The sequence below is a fragment of the Homo sapiens genome, chromosome 12 (assembly GCF_000001405.40).
Source record: "Homo sapiens chromosome 12, GRCh38.p14 Primary Assembly".
Lineage (NCBI taxonomy): Eukaryota > Metazoa > Chordata > Mammalia > Primates > Hominidae > Homo > Homo sapiens.
Genome location: NC_000012.12, coordinates 125,122,710 through 125,144,521, shown reverse-complemented (window position 1 = coordinate 125,144,521; position 21,812 = coordinate 125,122,710). Strand labels below are relative to the sequence as shown.

Below are 21,812 nucleotides of genomic sequence, written 5' to 3'. Positions count from 1 at the left end.
CACCCAGCTTCAGGTATTCTGTTACAGCAAAACAAAATGGACTACGACGTCGTGAGGAGGAGTGAGGGCTGCAGATGGAATTAAGGTTGTTAATCAGCACACATCAAAATAGGGAGATTATCCTTATTCAAGTGGGCCTGCTGCAATCACAGGGGGTTCTTACATGTGGACACGGTGGGTGGGAGTGTCAGCGTCAGAGAGCTACAGTGGAAGGAAGGTGTGACCGGCCATTGCTGAAGACAACAGGGCACCAGACAAGAAACACAGTGGCCTCTAGAAGCGGGAGAAGGCAAGGAAATGGATTCTCCCCTGCAGATTCCTGAAGGAACACAGCCCTGCTGTCACCCTGATTTCAGCCCAGTGAGACCCACAGCAGACTTCTGACCTCCAGGACTGTAATAAACTGGGGCTGTGTTAAGCCACTGCCTTTGTGGAAATGTTACAGCAGCTGTTGGAAACTCACAAAAAAGGGGAACAGGTCCTCTTTGAAATACTCAGACCCCCGGATGCCCTTGCAGCGAAGGCGGCTGCGTGTCCCCAGGCTGGCTGGTGAGGCCCAGCAGATGCTGCCGGCTTTCCAGAAAAGCCATCATTTTGCAGATAAAAAGGGACACACTCCAGAGATGCAGCTTTTTGCCTTTACCCAGCCCCCTTCTCACTCCCACCTTCTTCCTGCCTACAGCACGGATGAAAGACTAGAGGTGGGGCAGCCAGGCAGGGCCAAGATGATGACTGCCACATCCTGAGGACAGCAGAGTGCAGCAGACAGGAGCCAGGACTGCTGCACTGTGGAGTTGCTGCCCGGCCCCGGGAGAATGGACTGCCTCCAACTTCCTGTGACGTGAGAGCCATAAACGCTGCTGGGCCAAGCCTGGATCCCGTGGCATGTAGCCACACACAACCCAAGTGACATGCAGCTCTTGCGATGACAAGAAAGGAGCCAGAAACCTGGCTGGCGCTGGGTGTTGGGGGATCTCAGGGTGGAGGGGGCCCAGGGTGCTGGCTTCACACTGAGCAGCACTCCTCGTTGGTCACAAGGGAATGTGGGTAAGTACCAGGGCCCTGGGAAGTGCCCCCAACAATTCGAACCACACAACTCCAGGGCACAGCTGTTGGCGGGCGCACAAGCACCACCAGCCTCACACACGCAGATGCGGTCCCCCCTCCAGAGAAAACACACCAGCACACTGCACACACAGCATGGGTGCATGTGCACACATGTATACATTTATTGCATAAAATTCATCATAGCACTTTCCCCCATATTTTTATAATCCAAAAGGAAAATGATTCAAGAAAGGATTTCATTGTGCTCAGTTTCAAAAAATATAAAAATGGACATCAGATTAGAGATACAAGTTCATACGCTGAACTGAATTGTACATACCAACTGCCTGGCTATGGAAACCCGTGACTTGACTTAGGGGTGCTGATGACATGATCTCGACAAGAACCCCCTAGCAACTCTCAGGTGGAGGCAGCACAGGGATGCGGTTCCTGGTGAGGAGGGTCCTCACTCGGTGACCACACTGCCTGGGCTCACAGCTGGAGGGCTCACCCATGAGGGACACGGGTGGACACCCACTGCTTCACATGCCTAATTCACATTAGAAACATGTAAAGCCATTCAGTCTGTGCAATAAAGAGATCCTGTATGAAATCCACTCATTCCTTGGAGGGAAGCTGGCCCGGAGGCACGCTCTGGTTGACGGGTGACGCACAGTCCTCCAGGGCCTGCATTGCATCCATGACACAGACACACGTGAACACCCAGCCCGCCGGTCCTAGCAGCCAGCTGTGAAAGCTGTGTCAAGTCACGGGGGTTCCTTTCTAACAGCTAAAGCTCAAAGGCATACTGGACCCTGAGGGAAAACAGGAGAGCCTGAGATGGGAAGGGAAGAAAGGGATTTGCACCTTCACAGAGCAAAATGGGACAACGGGACGGGGAGGTTGAAGACAAGACCTTGGCTCAGGAGTGTGTCTGTCTTCAGCACCAGCCAGCCCCACCGTTCCCGCTGCACTGTGTGTGCAAAGACACACACTCTCACCACAGTGCCACACCTGCGGCCCAGACACTCCCTCCTGGTCTCTGAAGGCCAGAATCCCACTCGTGTGGAAGATCCAGGTACCCACCAGATTTAACAAAACAGAGAAACGATCCCTCCCCAAGCCTACAGAACACTTGGTGCGAGCATCCTTTTACAACAGCTGTAGGTTTCTGTATAATTTCTTGAGCACACAAAAGTTACAGTGCACACGGGTGCGGCTGAGTGACACGCCAGCCAGTCTGACTCAGAAGCCCTGCAGCTCAGGGATGTCCCGGTACAGATCCAGGGTCTCGGGGTTCGAGAAAGCACCTCCTTGCTCCACGGCTTTTCCAGCGATGATCTGTTTGACGGCAACTTCCACTTTCTTGCCGTTGAGCGTATACTGCGAGGGAAAGGTAGAAAAACAGGAACATTTAAACCTGAAGGGGGGAAAATCCGCAGCCCTGGATATATCCAGGCCCCAAAGGCCCAGCTCCACCTGGAGTGCCAAGAGTGAATGGGTCTCGGCTCTAAGATGCCCCTCTTCCCACCAGGTCTGCAAACGTGCACCGAAGTACGGTGAACTGACCACTGTCTCTCTGTTTGGGGGATAAAACCTGTTCTTCTGAAAGGCACTTTCAAGGACTGGTGCTGAAACTCAACTCTAACACTCTCCACACCCCACCCCCGCCCCCTGGCACGGCTGTTGAGAAACTGAGGCTATTTCAAAGTTGCCCAGAGGTCACCATGAGCATGTTCATTTTTCTTTTTTTCTTTTTTTTTCTTTTTTTTTTTTTTGAGACAGAGTCGCACTCTGTCACCCAGGCTGGAGTGCAGTGGTGCAATCTCCGCTTACTGCAAGCTCCCCCTCCCAGGTTCACACCATTCTCCTACCTCAGCCTCCTGAGTAGCTGGGACCATAGGCACCTGCCACCACGCCCAGCTAATTTTTTGTATTTTTAGTAGAGATGGGGTTTCACCAGGATGGTCTCATGTTAGCCAGGATGGTCTTGATCTCCTGACCTCATGATCCACCCATCTTGGCCTCCCAAAGTGCTAGGATCACAGGCGTGAGCCACCGCGCCCAGCCGAGCATGTTCATTTTTCTAACGCTGCACACTCTACTGGGCCCCGTTGGGACCCACGACACGTGTCACATCCAAGCTGGCCTCGAGAGGGCCCTCCAGACACCCCACTGACCCCGGCAGTGCATATTCCAGATGGGAATATAAAAAAGAGTATCTCTCAGGGTTCAGGGTCAGCCTGACCAGGATAAAAATGCAGGCATAGACCATTCCTAAATCCCAGCAGACACCCTGGGCAAGAAAGTTTTCAGGGAAGATGTGGCTCCTGCCACCCCATCTGGGGGATGCTGGGTAAATTCCTGAACCTGAGTTCACTTCCTCGAATGAAAGTAGGGGTGCCAGCACCTAGGCTATAAGGCTGTGAGTCACTGGGTGAATGAATCAGTGCACACACAGCTTCAGAAGTGCCTAGCTACTATGTTTTATGATGATTTTACTTTTATTTATACTTTTTTACTTCTCTATATATTTTATCACGTTATTCTATGATAAAGACCATTACTTTATTGATATTGCCATTACTTCAGAAGTGGCCCAGCTTCCTAGAACTAGAGGCAAGAGTGTCCCCAAGCTCCCATGAACTCCTCCTCAGAGCCAGCCATCTGCACGGGACGGTGTGTTACTTCTTCTCACAGTCGGGCCCTTTCCAAACATTCAGAGCTCCAAGATTTATGGCACATGTGTTTCACCTTGAATCCAGAAGAGCCCTTGGCAGTGTTGGTGTGTTGTGGGCTAGGAAACTTCAGGAGCAACAGAGCCCAGTGACGAGTCCTCGATCACTGGCGCCTTTTTTTTTTTTTAACCTGAGATGTAATTAAAATTCATTCACTTGAAAATTCAGTCGACGTGTGAACTAATTAAGGATCTAAGCACCGGCTTCCAAGGGCCTGCCTGTCACTTCATGTGATGTCGCCGGCCCTCCCGCTGTGAGATGCAAACGTCTCGCCTGCTCTGTGCCCTGCTACGCTTCACACAGGGGTCCACGTGCAGCTCACGGGAGCTAATACCGCCACCTTCCACCCGCTGGCAAAATACAGCAGCATCCTCTTAAAAGAAATCCTGCTACCATTTCCTCTGGGGAGAGGGGAAAAGGTAGAGGAAAGGGAAAGAGAAAGGAAGAAGCCACCGCCCCCCTGCCCACCCCCACACCAGCTCCTGCATGAGGCGTCCCCAAGTAGACAGGAGCCCAGCAGCCTCCTGTCAGGAAGGGCCAGACATCCCAGCCATGACCCGAGCAAAGGCCCGCTGGACTTGGGACAGCCATGGCTGCCTGAGGGCTGCAGTCGGGAAGCCCTCAAATGCCAGGAGTCCATTCCACTTGGCCATGACCCTCGCGGGGTCCCCAGGTCTTTATTCTGGGTGAGCAGAAGGCAGAGCTGACTATGGACACCCCTTCCTTGGGCAAGACCCCTCATCTCTCTGGGTTTCCTCATAAGAGGAAGTAAGATGGGTGTGAGGAAGACAAGTTTGTCCCGCCTCACCAGGGTCACAGGACCAGCTCCCCACCCCCCATTCACTCACCAGACACCAAAAGCATCTGCTGTTTGCCAGGCAGTCAGCTGAGCTCCGAAGAAAAGGAGGTAGACCCACAAGGTTCCTGTCCTCAAGAGGCCTCCACTCCACCAGAAAGATGTGCACATACACAAGAACTCACCCTCAGCACCCCCATGGTAAACACTGTCAAAGCTAAAGATGGAGGCCAGGACACTGTTCAAACAGGAAATGCAGGGAAAGCCTCTCTGACTTTTGCACAGAGAGCAACTGAGATCAGGTGTGTGGAAGGGCTTTGCACAGCATGCGCACCTACTCCGAATGAAGGCTGACGGTGAGTGGAGGCAGCACAGAAACAGAGGCACGGGGACTGCGTTCTGGGCACCCTGTGGCCCACGGCACCCACCAGAGAGGCTCTGTTGTCAACTCATCTTAGAGATGGGGAAACTGAGGCTTGGATGCTGCGTTGCCCAAAGTCATGCCTCAGGGGCAGAGGGGGGGCCAGAGCTAAGTGACAGAGCCCCTGTGCATAAAGACCCTCAGAGAACCCGCTGTGAAGGCTGGCGGCAAGGACTACGCCGGCCAGAGCCTCCCCAGTCCCCCGGGGCCGCTCACTCCAATGGTGCCGCATCACCACCCTGAGCTGTGGCGGGTGAGTGAGGGGCTCCTCTCCTCGTGTCACAGATCAGAGATGGGATGAGTCTTACTCAACACAAGGAGTGTGGCTGGCTCTGGGCCCAGATCTCTCCTGAGCCCTCACCAGGAACCCCCTAAATGCTGAAAATGGCACTGGCTTCCCAGGGAACAGAAGCGGCAGTGTCTCTCCACACAGAGACAGAGATGCGCCCCGGGCTCAGGCTGTTCTCGGGGTGGTGAGGGGTGGGTAGCCCACTCCCTACAAGCAACATGTGAAGGGTCAGACCTGCAACAGGCTCTCCTGCCTCAGCAAGGCCCCGGGACTTTGCAGATGAGACCTCAGTTGTCCTCTTCTGACCCTGAAGTGGGTCCAGTTCCTGAATGGGCAGGCTGGGGCCACGCCGTGTCACCTCCCTGTGGAGGCTGGACCCCTCCCTAGCTCAGCAATAAAAGAGGTAAATCCTCTCCTAAGCCTGCCGTGAGGGCTCGAAAATGTAAGGGCATTCAAAAATCTGGAAGAACCCTCCAAATAACTTCCCGAATGCACCCAGGAGGAGACCTTATCTGGGGAGAGAAAGAGCCCAGAGCCCAGCTGGGTGCCCTGGACGCAAGCCCACAAAAGCCAGGACAACCAGGGAAAGAAAGGTGCTGAGTTTTCCCCCTTCATAATAAATTGTTCCACTACTCTCGTGATCAAATATGGTTTGGTAACAACTGTTTTGGCAGCAAAAGACCTAAGTTCTTTTTCAATAATATAAAGCCAAGGGGATAAATGCAAATTCCAGTTCCCTAAAATGTTCCAGATAAGACAGCACTGATTCACTGAAGGAAAACCTTAGACCCTCATCAGAAAAAGACAATAAGGGTCACTGATTCAAGAAGTACCTTCTTGGAGAGCATCAGTGTCCCCACAGAGAGCCGCCAAGAGTCACCAACCAAAAATAAGGGAAAAAGAAAGAGATGGATGGAAAGCCCCAAGCTGCAGGGCTCTTCCCATGCAGAACCAGAACACAAAGGAAACGTGTGGACACCACAAAAAGCAACCAACACCGCAGATGCGGGCAGGCGCCGGGAGGAGGAGGGACAGGGGTCCCGAGTGGGAGTCAGCGCAGATGTGGACAGGCGCCGGGAGGAGGAGGAACAGGGTCCCGAGTAGGAGTCAGTCTTCCAGGGATGATCAGGGATTGCACACCGTTGTCGTGCTGCAAGCGCTCTCCCCAGCCCCCACTCCTGGACAGGTTGTTTTGAAGATGTTGAAATAACTTTTAAGGCAAAGAGAATGATCTACGGGTTTCAAAGTAAACGGCATCAGATATTTCAACATTCTCCAGGAAGCAGACTCTCCTGGTAAATCCTGTCTCTAGTTACACCTCACAGAATCAGCCCTGCTCCCGGGCAACATCAAAGTCAGCTTCCCCTGGGAACCCAGTGAGTGTGTGCTCCCATCTTCTCCTTAACGAATAGCCATTCCATAGGCTTCAAATACAGCCTGCCACTGTCTAAATTGTTGTATACATTCACATACACACACACACTCACACACACACAGCAGCTTCTGTCAGCTTGCGGGGTATCCGTTTTGTAAGCAATGCAAATGAAAGCTGTGATCCAATTTGGGTGACCCTCCTCCTCCCCCACTTAGAATCAAAGCAGAGCGTACTGGGGCCAGGGGCTGGGGGATGACGACACAGCCTTAGGAAGACCTGCCTCTAAAAAGAGTCAAGTCTTGTCTGTACCAGCAGAACTTAAAACTAAAAGGCAACAGCAACGGCTCCCAGCAGCACTTTAAAAAGTTAAAATTGGCTGGGTAGAGTGGCTTACGCCTGTAATCCCAGCACTTTGGGAGGCTGAGGTGGGCGGATCACTTGAGGTCAGGAGTTTGAAACCAGCCTGGCCAACATGGCAAAACCCCATCTTTACTAAGAATACAAAAATTAGCCAGGCATGCTGGCATGTGACTGTAATCCCAGCTACCAGTTAACTCAGGAGGCTGAGGCAGGAGAACTGCTTGAACCTGGGAAGCGGAGGTTGCAGTGAGCTGAGATTGAGCCATTGCATTCCAGCCTGGGTGACAGACTCAGTCTCAAAAAAATAAAATAAAAAATAAAAAGTTAAAATTAATGTTCTCATTAAAAATTTTGAGAATACACTAAAACCAGGGGATAGCAGGGAGAAGCCAGTTGGACCTGCAGGGCTGGGCCTGCTAACCCTCTGAACATGGGTATTTAGCAGAAGTTGCTTTAAATGCAGTCTTAGGAAGGGTAGGAAAAAGGATGGCAGGGAGAGGATGGCGTTGCTAGGCAACGTGGACAAACGATATATAAAGCACCGGCAAGCTGCTCAGATGTAAGCGCCCCTCAATGTGTGGGCTCGTGGGGCGATGGCTGCGGTCTCCTCGCTGGCGGGAGATGGCCATACCGGGATGCCCTTGGTTTCCAGGATGAGGCTGGGCACGTGTCGCGCAGACAAGCCCATGCGGATGGCGTCACGGATCCTCTTAACCAAGTCAGGCTGGAAGGCGTGCCCGGAGGCCATCTTCAGGAAGAGGATCACCCTCTCCTCCCTGTACTTGTTATACTGGGGGACACACAGGCTGTCCTCCACCTCCTCGAAGGATTCCACTGTGGAGACAGGAGAGGGTGCACATTCACGCAGGGGGCCCCTCAGTGTGGGGTCGGGCCTCACAGCAACCTGGCAGAGCAGGAGGGGCAGGCTGGGTCCCCCAAGCCTTCCAGCGGTGCCTGTGTTCTCCCAGTCCACCCAGGAGAAGGGCCTTGGAGGGACATTTGCTGAGGAGGCCGTTTCACAAGCGGAAGAAAACCCATCACTGGGGAGGCAGAGAGAGCTTCAGGTTTGGCAGGATGGGTGATGTTCTACCAGGAAGCCAGGTGTGGGCCTTACTTAATGAGAAATTAATTCAAGATAAAAAAGAGGGCCGGGCATGGTGGCTCACGCCTATAATCCCAGCACTCTGGGAGGCTGAGGTGAGAGGATCACTTAAGTCCAGGAGATTGAGACCAGCCTGGACAACATAGGGAGACTTTGTCTCTACGAAAAATCAAAACCTAAGTTAGGCATGGTGACACACACCTGGAGACACAGCTACTCGGGAAGCTGAGGCAGGAGGATCGCCTGAGCCCAGGAGGTCGAGGCTACAGTGAGTTATGATGGCGCCACTGCCCCCCAGCCTGGCCAACAGAGTGAGACCCTGTCGGCCTCCCAAAAAAGGAGGCAGGTGGCCGGGCACAGTGGCTCACACCTGTAATTCCAGCACTTTGGGAGGCCGAAGTGGGTTGATTACTTGAGCTCAGGAGTTTGAGACCAGCCTGGCCAACATGGCAAAACCTCATCTCTACAAAAAATACAAAAATTAGCTGGGCATGGTGGTGCACGCCTGTAGACCCAGCTACTCAGGAGGCTGAGGTGAGAGGATTGCTTGAGCCCAGGAGGCGGAGGTTGCAGTGAGCTGAGATCACACTATTGCACTCCAGCCTGTGAAGAGAGTAAGACCCTGTCTCAAAAAAAAATTTTTTTAAAAAAGAAAGCAGGTGCCTGTGGTGGGGACTCCACTGGAGTGAGGAAAAAAGGCTGGAATCAGACATCGGGATTTCTCTACCCTGGCCACACAAACGACCTTGACATAAGTTTAGGACTCTGACCTAAGCACTAGCATAAGAGGCCATCTGACCAACTCTGCGGCCTGGGCTGGGTCTGGGTCCCTGGGCTGGGAAGTTTGAAGGCCCACAGGTGACTCCACTGTACAGTTGTGAGATCCACAGGCCTACACTCTCTGTGCTTGGTGTCCTGCATGATGCTGTGTGACCTTCAGCAATCCTGAACCCTCTCTGTGCTTCTGGTTTCTTCAACCATAAAGAGTAGACACAAGTTGGCCGGGCGTGGTGGCTCATGCCTGTAATCCCAGCACTTTGGGAGGCCGAGGCAGGCGGATCACTTGAGGTCAGGAGTTCGAGACCAGCCTGGCCAACACGGTGAAACCCCATCTCTACTAAAAATACAAAAACTAGCTGGGCATGGTGGTGCATGTCTATCATCCCAGCTACTGAGGAGGCAGAGGTTGCAGTGAGCCAAGATCGCGCTCCAGCCTGGGTGACACAGCGAGACTCTGTCTCCAAAAAAAAAAAAAAGAGTAGATAGACACAAGTAACCAGCCCAGCAGAGCTCACCGGGAGGATGAGCTATAATGAGGAAGAGGATGGGCAAAGGGACCTTAAAGACCCCATTTGAGGTTTTATGAGGATGGCAGTGTGGGCAAGGTATGTTCTGGAAAGGAGGTCAGGCTCACAAATGTCCACTGTCACACCAGAGAACAAGGGGCCAGAGTTGTGCCAAAGGTGGGGCTCCTGGGGCTCCCGCCAGGACCCTCCTCCTTCCTGGAGACTGGAGAACGCTCAGGGAGGGGAAGCACGTACCAATGTTATAGATTTCCGAGCTGCCGAACCGCACCCCGTTGGGGTTGAGGGTGCCGTCACTGGAAAGAGAGAAGAGGTCAGGGCCACACCGCAGCTCTGGAGTGAAGCAAGTCCCAGGGGTCCCACGGGAGGGCAGTCACCCCCCACTTTCCCATGGCATCCCCCAGGACTAGTCACGGACACTCCGCTCCCCAGCTCCTTGCCCTACCACCCGGCTCTTTCTCCCTCTCAGGTTAAAGCTTTCCATCGAGGGAGGCAGGAACATCTGTCACCTCACTGCCTTCCCACCTGCACACGTGTCCCCCATTGCAGGTGTGGACACTGCTGTGCCTTTGCTGTGGAACCCCCATCCTGACACTCCCTACCCGAGAACCCCATCACAGGGCAGGGAGACTTGGATCACGCCCAGACCCATCCCTCGGGAAGGAAGCTGGCACAGGGATGCGCCACCCCAGGAATGACACAGGAAGGGTCCAAGATGAGGGACAGTCAGCCATGTTGCAGACTGAGCAGACAATGCTTCCTCAGAGGGGGTCTTCAGGCCCAGGGATGGTGTGTGCACAGGCACAGGGGTGGGGAAACATGGCGCACCAGCCGGTGGGGGCTGGGGGGTCCCAGACACCAGCAGAGGTGTGGGTGGTGTGGACACCCTGGTGCTGGAGTGGAGTGAGGTGCCCAGGAAGGGGGTCACTGACTTTTATAGAAAGCACCTCCTCTCCCACCCCCATGCCTCTGGAAGGTGGGGCTCCAGGAAAGAGAAGCCGACTCTGCAGCCCTTACCTCCGGCCAAGCATGACGATGCCCCCGGTCTTGGGGTTGATTCTGCAGTAGTCGCCATGAGCCCAGATACCTGCAAAGACAGCAGAGGTGCCCGGTCATCCCGAGGAGAAGGGGCCATGACAGGCTGCCTGGACAGACGCTGGGTGTAGGTCCGCAGACATCACTGGGGCCCAGAGGCAGGTCTGGCATGGGGCTGGGGGCCAGAGGGAGCCAGACAGTTCCTGCCCCAAGGAACATGCCCTCTAGCGGGGCTGCTGCCCGGGCAGCTCTGACACCGCCGGCGAGGAGGAACGCAGCTCCTCAGGCACCAGCAAGGACCCGGGAATTCACAGAGGGCAGGACCAAGCTCGGCCAGGCCACTGGGGGTCAACAGGAGTGTCTGGAGACAACCCTGAGTGTAGCACAGGAAAGAATAAGCCATGTCTTGGGAAGCAAGAGTGGCCAGGGGCAGTGGAGGGCACAGGGTGTGCAGAGGTTGGGGCCAGATCTTGGAATGGAATACACGTGCTCGTGACCAGGAAGGAGGCTACTGCACCAGTCCGAGTCATGTAGGCTTGAACCAAAACATTAGCCACATGGACAGAGAGCCGATTAGCAGGTAAAACCCAGGGGATGAGGAGACGGGGAAGAGGAAAGAGCCAGGGATGACAGCAACACAGTGTCAGCAGGCCACGTGAGTGGCCTCATGTGCAGCTGTTCAGAGAAGGCCTGCACGCTGGGGTGGCACCATGAAGCTGATGGACCAAAGGGATCAAATCCCAGATTTGGATGCCGCCTCTAAGGAGAGAGGTTCCTTGGCCACATCCTCCACCCAGGCGCCAAACAGTGAAGAGAAGCCACACAGCCGAGAGAGTCACCAAGGGAGCAGTTAACCAGCTGGGGGCCTCCTCCTGCTGACACCACCACCAGCCCTTGATCAGCCACACTGAGGGGAACTGGCTGGCCGTAATCAAAAGCGCATCTCTGCTGCTTTGTAATGCCAGAAGTCATCTGCCTCAGCAGCAGGCTGGCCTCCTGCAATAACGCCCCGAAGATTTCCTGCGATCCGGGAAGGGAAAACAGTAAAGAAGCCAGCTTCTGTGTCTTCACTGACGGGCGGCAGCCTCAGAAGGCATCTCCTCCCTCCCAAATCTCGAGACACTTCTCCAGCACTTCTCCACTCTGTGGCAAGAGCTAACCCAAACAGCTTATGACTCAACAGCTACCTAGTCTACTCACGCATTTATGTGACATCATGAAGCAGACACTGCCACAAGCCACCACCAAGCCTTCTATGGGGACGAAGGCCAAGGGGACTGTGTACAGGAGTGCATGGTCCCTGGGAGGCAGCTGAAGAGAATGAAATGAGCCCAAAGCTACTTATTCCAATGCAAAAAAAGAGAACTGCAGGTCTTCAGGTCTTTCCTCCCGCCTCCCCAAGCTAGAGAATGAAACCAATTCTTTTCTCATTGGACTTTTAAAAGATTCACATACACAAATAAGGAAAAAAAAAAATCCACTCCTAGGCTTGCAATGGATGTGCCTAGCTTCTGCAGGAGCACGCCTGTATGGCTACTCAGCAAACTGAGTCTATGAATGGCAGCCCTGGAAGATGAGAGCTGCAAGCCTGTGCCGCTCACCTGGGAATCCTGCCTCATTCTGGCACTTCGGTGCCAGCAACAACATACAGTCTTGTTTGCCTGGAGTCAGATCTCCCTTTAATCGGACGAGAAATTTCTGGGTTTTCTGGGCCATCTGCAGTACTGTGCCCTAATTACTGAGACCCCGGAAATGCAGAGAAAAAGGAGGATGTAAATCCACTCTGAAGAAATGTTTTTTGTGAAAACTTCCCCGACACACTTTGATCCCTTGCAAAGCCAGGCTGAGAGGAGCAATCCACTAGTGGCTGGCTCCAGGGCACCACAGAGGAAGTGGCCTGATGGCAAAACGAAGCCGCAGAAACGATGTCTTCCTTTCTACAGCAGACTGAACAGATTTAGATCATTCTCATTCTTCAAGGCACTGACTTAAGCTTCGAGTCTCCTGGGAGCTGAGGCGAAAGTGGAAATACAGTGGGAACAGGTGACTGCCGATAGCAGACCAGGCCTGTTTGGAATGTGGCATCTGCAATGACCTAAATCTTAAGTCTGCTTTTACTTTCTTTTAAAATTTTAAGTTTTTAAAAATAATAAAAAGTGGTCAGGCCTGGTGGCTCACGCCTGTAATCCCAGCACTTTGGGAGGCCGAGGTGGGTGGATCACAAGATCAGGAGTTTGAGACCAGCCTGGCTAACATGGTGAAACACCGTCTCCGCTAAAAATACAAAAATTAGCTGGGCGTGGTGGCGCGCGCCTGTAATCCCAGCTACTCAGGAGGCTGAGGCAGGAGAAGCTGAGATCGTGCCACTGCACCCCAGCCTGGGCAACAGAGCGAGATACCGTGTCAAAAAATAAAAATAAAAAGCCATAAAGAAAACCAAAATGGGCTCATAATCCCACCACTCATATAACCCCATATTCATACTCATTATTCATTTATTCACACAATCACACATATGTACTTCCTTTTTAAAATTTACACAAGGCCGGGTGTGGTGGCTCATGCTAGTAATCCCGGCACTTGAGGAGGCTGAGGCAGGAGGATTGCTTGAGCTCAAGAGTTCGAGACCAGCCTGGTCAACATAGAGGGACCTCATCTCTACAAAAAATACAAAAATTAACCAGGCATGGTAGCACACACCTGTAGTCCCAGCTACTTAGGAGGCTGAGGCGGGAGGATCCTTTGAGCCCTGGAGATCAAGGCTGCAGTGGATGGAGATCACACCACTGCACTCCAGCCTGGGGCCAGACGGAGACCTTGTCTCTAAAATAAAAATTTAAAATTTACACCAAAGGGATGCTATGTCCTCTGTTCTTAAACTCTCATTTTCACTTACTAACATCCTGGGTATCTTTCCATACCAGCACACGGCCTGTTTACATTTTCACCTGGCATCATTTTTTAAGGTAACGACGTCCAAAAACCCACTCCGAGTTGTGGAAACGAAGGCTTGCTCTTGTTGCTTGGTTTTGCCATCACGCCATTTCCTATACAGCCCAAGAATCTCTCAGCGCTGGTGCTTGAGGAAGGGTCTAAGTGCAGCCTATGTTCACCTTGTCCATGATAAACAGCTTCAGATCTCATTATCTGATCTGCCTTTGTCTTTCCATATTTATTCATATCTCTCACCTACACTCAGGAAGTATTGGAGGAAGCTACCTTTAAAACTGACTTCATGACAGGATTATTCAAAGAGAAGCAAAATCTTACCCTAAAGGTAAGAGGACTACAAAAACAAAGCAATTATTTCAGCTCTGAGTTTCCTGGCAGCCAAGGCAAAAATGGAAATATAACACGTCACAAAGTACTTGTCTTCTCCAAGAAGGAATATCAGTTTCAAAAAAAGATTATTCTGAAATTAATCCTGAGAGACATCTATCACATGAACCCTTGCACATGTGACAAATAAAGTGACAGAAAAGAGAGTTTTCAAAGAGCAATGTTACAGAAGATGAAGGGCCATCATTTCTTGGATGGATCCTCAAGCTGAGATTCTAATCCTTTTGGCCTCTCCTCCCAAGGCAGGAGGCCCTACCCTCCTCTTCAGGGTCATCTGATGAGTGTTTCTCTACATCCACTCTTGCTTTTCTGCATTCGTCTGTCTGCACAGCTGCTCACGGCAGGAGCCAAGGTGGGGCATAGGTGCAGCAGGTATGCAGTGGAGGCTGAGCCACCCCTGGGGGGATGCCCCACGCTGCTGCAGGAAGGCACTATTCCAGGCACAATGGCTTTAACGGTGAAACGCAAACACGCAAGGCAGGAAGGATACCTGGCAAATCCTACCACTTACCGCTTTCTGATTCTCCATACGTGGTCTGTGCTAAACCAGATTACCTTTTGAGAGACTGCAGAAAGCAAGTACTGAGTATAAATAACTCTGGAACAGAAGGCTTGCTAAACGATGAATTATATAGCAGCAGTAACTCGAGACTGCTTATGAAATAAGATTAGAGGGAGGCAGGAATCAGAGCTTTAAATAAAAGACTTCCCTGCTTTGGGGCAAGGCACCACTCAAAAGACGACACCCAAGGGTGTCAGTCTATGTGAGAGTGACGTGTCGGGTTGTAAATGCTTCCACCGCAAAAGCGCTCTTCCTCCAGCATCTCCATGAGGACTGGATGATGGTGAGAGACACGAAGGAAGAGACCCGAGCCAGACGCCACTTCCACATGCCACTCCTCGTGAACAGGCAGGCATCACCCTGTTTCAGCCCCACACCCTCCACCCTCCCACATGCAAACCAGAGGCTCGTGCCAGCTCCCAGCAGCAGGGGCTGGGGCCAAGAGGCTCTGGGCAGAGGTGGCTGAGATTCAACTAAACCAGATTGCAGTTGCACACGATAGCTTCAAGCTGAAGACAACAAGATATTGATCAAAAATTCATTATCCCCCCACTGGCGGAATGAACTATAAGCAGCTTCTCCAAGCCCTGGTGGGGGAAGGAAGAGGGGAGGGGCACGATGGTACAGAATTAGACACAGAAGGCCCAGCCAAGGCAGAGGCTGGCCAGCTCTGTCTGCATCTCTCCAACCGACCTGGGAATTTGGAGAAATACGCCTTCCTGTACTTGTTGCCGTTCTCATCGTTCCAGAAGTGTGTGGGCTGGCAAGGGATCGGCTTAGTACACACCAGCTCGCCGCTCTCTCCCCAGACCGCCTTTCCTGGTATGGGAGAATTAAAAATAAGCCCAACACACACCACAGCCACACACCCTGGCTGTCTCTCTCTCTTTCTTAAGCTATTACTTATTATGCAATATTCCAGACATATACAAAGGTACAGAGATGGTCCACGCCCACACACCTGTCACAGCAGCCTAATAATGCGTTCCTCCCAGATGAAGTCCCCTCCCTGTGTGCTCCCCAAAATCGCTGTCTCGGACGTAGTGATTTGTTATTCCCATGTGTGTTAACATTTCTGCTCCATCCACACGCATCCTTGAATAGCATATGTCGTCACTCTGCATGCCTTTGAACACATACACGCTGTCCTTCTATGTGTCCCGCATCTTCCTGTGCTCACTCAGCATGACATCTGGGCTCGTTCGGGCTACTAGGTCTCACTCTGGTTCATTCGTATTCACCACTTGGGCATTCTCCACATGTGATCACAGAGTTTCTTCCTCTCAAAGATGGACATTTCTATTGTTCCCAATTTTGTTTTCCATTACAAATCATGGGGCGCTACAAACATTCTTGCATGGATCACAAGTAAGTCTTCTGGGAGTGGCATTCCCAGATCACAGGGCACGTATGCATCTTCAGCTTCACTGACTCCTCCCACATTGCTCTGCAGAGCAGGTGCACTGAGCCCTGCTCACCCCTCCTAGCACAGCTGGATTTCTAGCTGCCAGGCCCAGCATAGCGGGAGACTATCCCTTCAATGACCAGGTTCTCAGAAGCTCAGAGCTGGCTGCTGCCTGTGTATCCAGCACCAGGGTTCAGATGCAGGGCAATGACCACCCACCTGCCCACTGTTCCCGAGCACACATCTCTCCACCTGTCCTCCAGCTCGACCCTGACCTCTCAGAGGCTAGGGACCAGAAGCCCGGCGGGTGTTAAACCAAGCTGGAGGGAAAGGACATCACACTGCAAGTGACAGGGGCCTCCCCTCCGAGGGCTGTTTTGGAGAACTATGTCCAAGCAAAGTTACACATCCGAACGCTCCCACACTCCCAACTCACGCCTAATCACAGAAAGAAACAGTTGGTGGAGCCATCACCTTCCTCGTTCCACGCTTCCACGGCCATGCCCAGGTTCCGGGCCTGAATCTCCCCTTTATACACAGGAAGAGAAAAATTGTGGCCCATGAAGCAGGAGATGATGTCGGTGCCTCCTGCAAGCAATGGCAAAGGGAGACTCAAAATTTAGAAGCCCAAGACAAATTGTGTTAAATTAGTGAGCAACAAAGGAGAAGGTGCCAAGAGGACAAATATCTACTCTCCCAGACAAACACTGCAACATCCCAGACAGGTGGGGCTTCTCTTCAGGGAGCAGTGGGAGAGGTGATATGGAAATTAGAATGAACCCCCCACATCTGGTGATTGACGTTTTAGCCGAGCCTTCCTGCCAGAGGATCCGCTAAGTAAATGACCTCCTGTGGTCATGCTGAAATTCAAGACTCAGGATCGCAGAAAATGGAAGCTTTGCCTGTGATACATACCTGGCAGGCACTGCCTAGACAGACCCATCACATGGGAAGGCTCGAGTGCCATGGTTTATGTGGACTTAATGGTTGGAAAAACAGAAATGTGGCTGGGCGAGGTGGCTGACGTCTATAATCCTAGCACTTTGGGAGGCCAAGGTGGGCAGATTGCCTGAGCTCAGGAGTTCGAGACAAGCCTAGGTGACATGGTGAGACCCCATCTCTACTAAAAATACAAAAAAATTAGCCAGGCGTGGTGGCATGTGCCTGTAATCCCAGCTACTCAGGAGGCTGAGGCACAAGAATCGCTTGAACCCAGGAGGCGGAGGTTGCAGTGAGCCAAGATTGTGCCACTGCACTCCAGCCTGGGCGACAGAGCAAGATTCTGTCAAAACAAACAAACAAACAAAACAAAAAGTTCCCAGCTGCAAGATTGTGGAGTGTGATTTTATTTCTTCCTTCAGGCAGAGAATAAAATGTGATGTCTTCTCTGCCATTTCATGTCACTGACTGATGTGTCCCACGAAAATGAGTGAGTCACGTTCGTTTCTGCCACCATCAAGGTTGAGCAGGGCTCCTGACCTCCTTCCTGCTGCTCACTCTGCTGGTGGGAATGGCTCAGACCCCCCACCTCAGGCCGAGGAACCAACGGTGGGGAGGAAGGCTGAGGGGTCGGCCTCAGGCTTCGGGCAAATGGCACCTTTTTTTTTTTAGACGGAGTTTCACTCTTGTTGCCCAGGCTGGAGTGCAATGGCACGATCTCAGCTCACTGCAACTTCCACCTCCCAGGTTCAAGTGATTCTCCTGCCTCAGCCTCCCTAGTAGCTGGGATTACAGGCATGTGCCACCATGCCCAGCTAATTTTGTATAAATAGCACCTCTTAAAGAGGTGCTTTGAGAGTATGTTTTTAAATCACAAGGAGAAAAATCAGAACTACAAATATGTAAAAATAAAATAAAAGTGACCCAGGCCAGGCACGGTGGCTCATGCCTGTAATCCCATCATTTTGGGAGGCCAAGGTGGGAGAATCACTTGAGGTTAGGAGTTCAAGAACAGCCTGGGCAACATGGTGGAACCCCGTCTCTACAAAAAATAAAAAAACATAACTGAGCGTGGTGGCATGCACCTGTGGTCCTAGCTACTCAGGAGGCTGAGGTGGGAGGATCACTTGAGCCTGGGAGGTGGAGGCTGCAGTAAGCCATGATCGTGTCAGTGTGCACTCCAGGCTGGGCAACAGAGCAAAACCCTGTCTTTAAAAAAAAAAAAAAAAACTGACCCAAAGATTTCTATGGGCAGCAATGGAATCAACTCTTAAGTCATGTGAAGGGGAATTGAGGTGTGTACCCTAAACTACATCTGTGTAAAAATGGGGTGCTCTCGCCCCATTTACACACACTCACACACACTCAAGCACACACGCTCACCTATGCACAGAACATCTCTGAAGGGAACGACGTCGGCTTCCTTGGGGAAGGGGGACGGCAGCCATGAGGACACCTTTGTGGACTGAATTTTTTACCACGTGCGTGAACCATTTTCTAAAGCACAACTTTATGTTAAGAAAAAAGTTATGAGAAAAAATGCACTTGGGGGCCAGACACAGTGGCTCACACCTGTAATCCCAGCATTTCGGGAGGCCAAGGTGGGTGGATCACCTGAGGTCAGGAGCTCGAGACCAGCCTGACCAACACGGTGAAATCTCATCTCTACTAAAAATATAGAAAAATTAGCTGGGCGTGGTGGCACATGCCTGTGATCCCAGCCACTTGGGAGGCTGAGGCACAAGAACTGCTTGAACCCAGAAGGTAGAGGTTGCAGTGAGCTGAGATCGCACCCACTGCACTCCAGCCTGGGTGACAGAGCAAGACTCTACCTCAAAAAAAAAAAAAAAAATTCACTTGGAATCCACATATAATACACCCATATATATACATACATGAGTGTGCATGTACACATCCATATATACCTGTTTTCCACCTGCAAAAATGACCGCACCTTGTAATTCTGCAATCTGATTTTTTCACTCATCATGGCCAATGGCCATGTTTCGATGTCCATCAGTGTATTTCATGCACTTCTAATGGCTGCATAAATTAAGACTGTACCCTAAATTATTCAATCAATTTCCTTCTGCTGGGCATATAGGTAGTGTCTATTTTTTACTTATATAAACAATGTGGCAATATTTGTCCTTCCATACAGTGGATTCTCACTATTTGCAGATTCTATTTTGGGGAATTTGCCTACTCACTAAAAGGTATGTTACACCTCCAGATCCATACTCTGGAGCTTTTGTGGTCACTCTCAGACATTGCAGAGCAGTCAAAACCCTAAGTCACCCAGGCACATTCCCACTGAGGTCACACAAGGCGACACAGCCTCCCTGCCTTGCTCTCACACACAGGAGCCCAGGGCAGGGTGGGGCAGGGTGCTGTCTTCCCGGGCGTGGCATCCCAGCTCTAGCACCTGACGGTGGGGCAGCCTTGGGCAAGTCACTGAATGCTTCTGAACTGCATTTTCTCTTTTGCAAGATAAAAAATGTAGAACCTACCAAGATGTATTGTTTTGGATTTTAAGACTATAATCGATGTGAGAGGTGTGTGTGTGTACATAAATCTATTTCCCCCAGGAGCAAGGGTTCCGTATGGGTTCCGTGTTCACAGTGACTTCGTGGAACATCACTGCCTCAGATCATGAGAAGGGACTGTGCGTATTGGCTGCCCAGCGGACTGTGTCCTTGGGATGAATCCAAGCACTGGGCAGAGGTGTGCATACTTATGGGGCCGGCGGGGATGGCTGGAAGGACTGTCCCCACCGGGGCCATACCTGAGATGGAGCCCAGGAGGATGCTGCTCTTGATGCACCTGTAGACATACTCGTAGCTCTGGGCTTTCAGTGGGGAGCCAGTGGACAGGATCGTGTGGAGCATCTGGAGACTGTGGGTTTCCACTGGGGTGCAGAGTCACCAAAAGATTAAAACTAAACCCAGTGCCTGAAGCCTCACTCGCAAGCAGGAAATAGGATGGATTTAATTTCCTTGATTGGCAGTACAGGGAATGAGTACTGAAGAGGCACACTCACCCGGCTTCATGGCCTTCTCTTCCAGCACTGACAGCCACTTGGCCCCAGTTACCAGGACAGTGATGCTAGGGTGCAGGCGGGAAAGAAAACACCAGAAACTCTTCAAGGCTCTTGCACCAAAGCTTTCTAAAGTTAGTGATTTATTTCTGACAAGTTTGCAAAACCCAAGAGAGAGCAGTTTTCTGGGTTGAACTCATACTTCATGTTTACTCGAGTCTGAGTCACGGCACCTGACTTCCTCACAGGTGCACCTGACTGCTCTTTACACTGATTTCAGCACGCAGGGCCAGCTCCCTTTACCACGAGGCGTCACATAAAACAGTCGCTCACCCGAACCCATTATCTTCCCAACTGCAGAGTATTGTATCTTGGGGGACCAAAGGAGGCCATAAAAATCAAGTCCCCTCAAATTCTATCCTCACACATTCATTCACCAATGAAGAGAAGGCTACAGAATTATTATTATTATTATTTTAGACAGGGTCTCCTTCTGTTGCCCCAAGCTGGAATGCAGTCGTGCAATCACAGCTCACTGCAGTCTCCAACTCCTGGGCCCAAGTGATTTTCCCACCTCAGCCTCCCAAGTAGCTAGAGCTACTGGTGTATGCCACCATGCCCAGCTGAGAGACAGGGTCTTGCTATGTTGCCAGGCTGGTCTTGAACTCCTGGGCTCAAGTGCTCCTCCTGCTTTGGCCTCCCAAAGTGCTGGGAGAATTCTTTATTTGTGAAAACATGTGCCATACTTGAAACTCTCCACCCATCCCCTTTTCTTAAACAAGATCACATTTTTATGAAACTTAGAAAAGTCCAGCTCTTCTTGAACATTCAGAATCCACCGTTCTATGCATTTGTGCTCACAGAACAACACACGCTGCTGAATATACCTCACTGCGCTTTCAAGGGCAGCCCTGTCTAATATGCTATTTCCTTCCTCAGCTTTTCCTCCAGCCAGGCGGCCCTTCACATGTAAACTCAGTCGGCCCAACTAAAGAACGTTATTCTCTTCGGGGCCTAGAGGAGGCTGTGAGATTCAGACTCTTCTGGGTCACTCTGGGCAGTAGAACCTCAGTCCTGCACATTCGGTGGAGAGACTCATCCCACGGAAGACCGTCATAGCATTCGCTGTCTGAAGCCACGAGGCAACATGGCACAGAACATCCCGGAATTCAGGGCTGGCTGGGCTGGGCGTGGCTAAGGCAATGGCAGGGTGGGTCTCCCTCCACGCAAGGAGGCGGGTTACCATGGTCCTTCCACCTCCCACACCTTCGTTCTCTTACTTCCCCAGACACACCCTGCCACCAACAAAGCCACCACTGTACCCTAGAGATGGCTGGAGTTTTGGGGGAGGGAGACTAGCTCCTCCCACCATCCCCCATGCTTCTTTCATAAACTCAGAGTTTGATTAACTACTTCAACATCATAGCCAAGGACTAAGGTGTCACTTCCTTTGCAAGTATCACTAACAGAGGATGGAGACCTCATGACTCTAATGGTGATCACCCGGCCCTGAGCAGCAGTGACCACCTCCAGCTACAGGTACAAAGCTCTCCAATCAACAGCCACGCCCAAACAACACACGGGTTTTGTGCAATCCCCCCACTGCCCACCCCCAGAAAACTCGAAGGCTCTCTGTGGGTCTAAAGTGCGTCTAAGTGCAGGCAAGACTCTGCAAACCCTGATCTTGGTGAAGCTCCGCCAGCACTCAGAGGTGATGCTCTCCGGCCTGTGAGTCACAGTCCTGCTTGTCTGAAGAAACGGCAAAGTCCCCCATCTATCTCCAGGGTGCAGGTAAGACGGTTAGGAAATGCAACACCATTCAGCTCTTGGAAGCACGGGAGCCCACCTGCGGGCACTCATGCCACGTCTTATTTCTAGCAAGTACTGTAGGGGTCGCTGCACCAAAGCATGAGACAGTCTCAGGTCCCTAAACCGTTGGGACCCGGTGCCCGAGACTGCCCAGAGCCCTGTTCGGAGGGAAGTGTGGATCAGCCCACAGGCAGCCCCTCCAGGGTCGCCACTGCGCCTGTGGGCTCCAGCAACCTGAGTCTCTCAGCTTCTGC

At 51.9% G+C, this 21,812-nt stretch overlaps 1 protein-coding gene across 11 annotated transcripts in view, besides 2 other annotated features; it reads right to left on the bottom strand.

The window, feature by feature from the left end:
* Positions 841 to 1,415: an enhancer, noted in NCBI's record as "H3K4me1 hESC enhancer chr12:125627653-125628227 (GRCh37/hg19 assembly coordinates)". NCBI's record gives its function as "activates a minimal SCP1, AML or CMV promoter by ChIP-STARR-seq in naive H9 embryonic stem cells {active_cell/tissue: H9 hESC(naive)}" and the evidence as "EXISTENCE:reporter gene assay evidence [ECO:0000049][PMID:30033119]".
* Positions 1,206 to 21,812, bottom strand: part of AACS (acetoacetyl-CoA synthetase) — a 77,882-nt gene continuing 57,275 nt past the window's right edge. For 3 of the 11 annotated variants that reach the window (NR_183032.1, NM_023928.5, XM_011538692.3), the window contains 8 exons: positions 19,753 to 19,817; positions 19,498 to 19,620; positions 16,248 to 16,361; positions 15,062 to 15,187; positions 10,450 to 10,519; positions 9,670 to 9,728; positions 7,658 to 7,860; positions 1,206 to 2,430 (listed from right to left, as the gene is read on the bottom strand). Coding sequence is in view for 8 of the 11 variants with exons in the window: in NM_023928.5 (NP_076417.2) it covers positions 2,293 to 2,430; positions 7,658 to 7,860; positions 9,670 to 9,728; positions 10,450 to 10,519; positions 15,062 to 15,187; positions 16,248 to 16,361; positions 19,498 to 19,620; positions 19,753 to 19,817 (898 nt within the window). In the remaining 3 variants the exon portion in view is untranslated. Of the gene's footprint in view, positions 2,431 to 3,593; positions 7,861 to 9,666; positions 9,729 to 10,449; positions 10,520 to 15,061; positions 15,188 to 16,247; positions 16,362 to 19,497; positions 19,621 to 19,752; positions 19,818 to 21,812 lie in introns of those variants that run through there. The other 8 variants (NM_001319839.2, NM_001319840.2, NM_001414675.1 and 5 more) reach the window with 8 other exon arrangements.
* Positions 10,630 to 11,261: an enhancer, noted in NCBI's record as "H3K27ac-H3K4me1 hESC enhancer chr12:125617807-125618438 (GRCh37/hg19 assembly coordinates)". NCBI's record gives its function as "activates a minimal SCP1, AML or CMV promoter by ChIP-STARR-seq in naive H9 embryonic stem cells {active_cell/tissue: H9 hESC(naive)}" and the evidence as "EXISTENCE:reporter gene assay evidence [ECO:0000049][PMID:30033119]".